The following is a 1,720-nucleotide window of genomic DNA, read 5'->3' on the forward strand; positions in this document are numbered from 1 at the left end:
TTCTTAATCCAGTCTATCATTGTTGGACATTTGGGTTGGTTTTAAGTCTTTGCTATTGTGAATAGTGCCACAATAAACATACGTGTGCATGTGTCTTTATAGCAGCATGATTTATTGTCTTTTGGGTATATACCCAGTAATGGGATGGCTGCGTCAAATGGTATTTCTGGTTCTAGATCCCTGAGGAATCGCCACACTGACTTCCACAATGGTTGAACTAGTTTACAGTCCCACCAACAGTGTAAAAGTGTTCCTATTTCTCCACATCCTCTCCAGCACCTGTTGTTTCCTGACTTTTTAATGATCGCCATTCTAACTGGTGTGAGATGGTATCTCATTGTGGTTTTGATTTGCATTTCTCTGATGGCCAGTGATGATGAGCATTTTTTCATGTGTCTTTTGGCTGCATAAATGTCTTCTTTTGAGAAGTGTCTGTTCATATCCTTTGCCCACTTTTTGATGGGGTTGTTTGTTTTTTTTCTTGTAAATTTGTTTGAGTTCATTGTAGATTCTGGATATTAGCCCTTTGTCAGATGAGTAGGTTGCGAAAATTTGTTTGTGCTTTTTGAGACGGAGTCTCCCTCTGTCACCCAGGCTGGAGTGCAGTGGCATGATCTCTGCTCACTGCAACCTCTACCTCCTGAGTTCAATTGATTCTCCTGTCTCAGCCTCCCAAGTGGCTGGGATTACAGGTGCGCGCCAACATGGCCAGCTAATTTTTGTATTTTTAGTAGAGACAGGGCTTCGCCATGTTGGCCAGGCTGGTCTTGAACTCCTGACCTCAGGTGACTCTGCCTGCAGCCTTGGCCTCCCAAAGTGCTGGGATTATAGGCGTGAGCCACTGCATCCTGCCGATTCGAAGATTTTCTGACTTGGTTAAGGAAGTGAGGCTTTGTCTGAAAATTTGTTATCATCAGAAAAGAATGTTAGCCCTGGCTCGTGGGTGTGACCTCTTCCAGGCCTCTCAGGAAGAAATCTAGAACAAAGGACAGCCATTAGAGTTCAGCCCTCAGTTCCCCCTTATCTGAGGTCTGTGTGCCAGGGGATTCCTTTGGTAAGAATCTGGGTTTCTAGAAAACAACTCAGGGACATATGTTAAGATGTTATCTCTAGTTTCTATAGGGAACCAAACGTTCTCCTGACTCTAACTTCCTTGGCTATTGTTTTAAGCTACTATTACCTTCTAGCTTATCGAGTTGCTCATTCACTTCTTAAGGCTAGCTAGGTCCCCGGAATTTCCTTCAAAGGAACTCAAGATTTTACTTTATTTCTATGCTTTGGTGCCCGCAAGTCCCTAGGAGGAGTCTCTACTCCATCTCAGTTATACCAAGAGCAATCAGTGTTATCAACCAACCTTGAGCTCCTGTTTCATTTCTTTTCTACTTATTCCCATTCCAGTTGAATTACTTGGAATAGTATAACTTTGCACCTGTTTATTTTCTTTTGTCTAAATACTATGGCATAACCCATACACCCCTTCTCTCAACAACACAGTTTAATCTGATTAGGGACAGACAGAGAATTGATAATGATCCATGAAATCCCTATAGGATTGTGTTCTAGATACCTTCTATGATAAACCACTTGAAATCTCTATTTCAAAATCTTGCTGCATAGTCCCTATAAAAATTCTTCCATATCTTTCCCCCTGAAAGAAATATGCGGGTTCTTATTGCTAGAAAGGGGACAAGTTATGCGACTGTGATCTTTTCTTATGACA

The 1,720-nt window shown here is 41.9% G+C and overlaps 1 annotated feature.

The window, feature by feature from the left end:
* Nucleotides 273-1,472: an enhancer, noted in NCBI's record as "CDK7 strongly-dependent group 2 enhancer chr9:35951260-35952459 (GRCh37/hg19 assembly coordinates)". NCBI's record gives its function as "activates an origin of replication core promoter dependent on BRD2, BRD4, P300/CBP, MED14 and CDK7 cofactors, with strong dependence on CDK7, by STARR-seq in HCT116 cells {active_cell/tissue: HCT116}" and the evidence as "EXISTENCE:reporter gene assay evidence [ECO:0000049][PMID:35650434]".

The sequence above is a fragment of the Homo sapiens genome, chromosome 9 (assembly GCF_000001405.40).
Source record: "Homo sapiens chromosome 9, GRCh38.p14 Primary Assembly".
In the NCBI taxonomy this organism is placed as follows: Eukaryota; Metazoa; Chordata; class Mammalia; order Primates; family Hominidae; genus Homo; species Homo sapiens.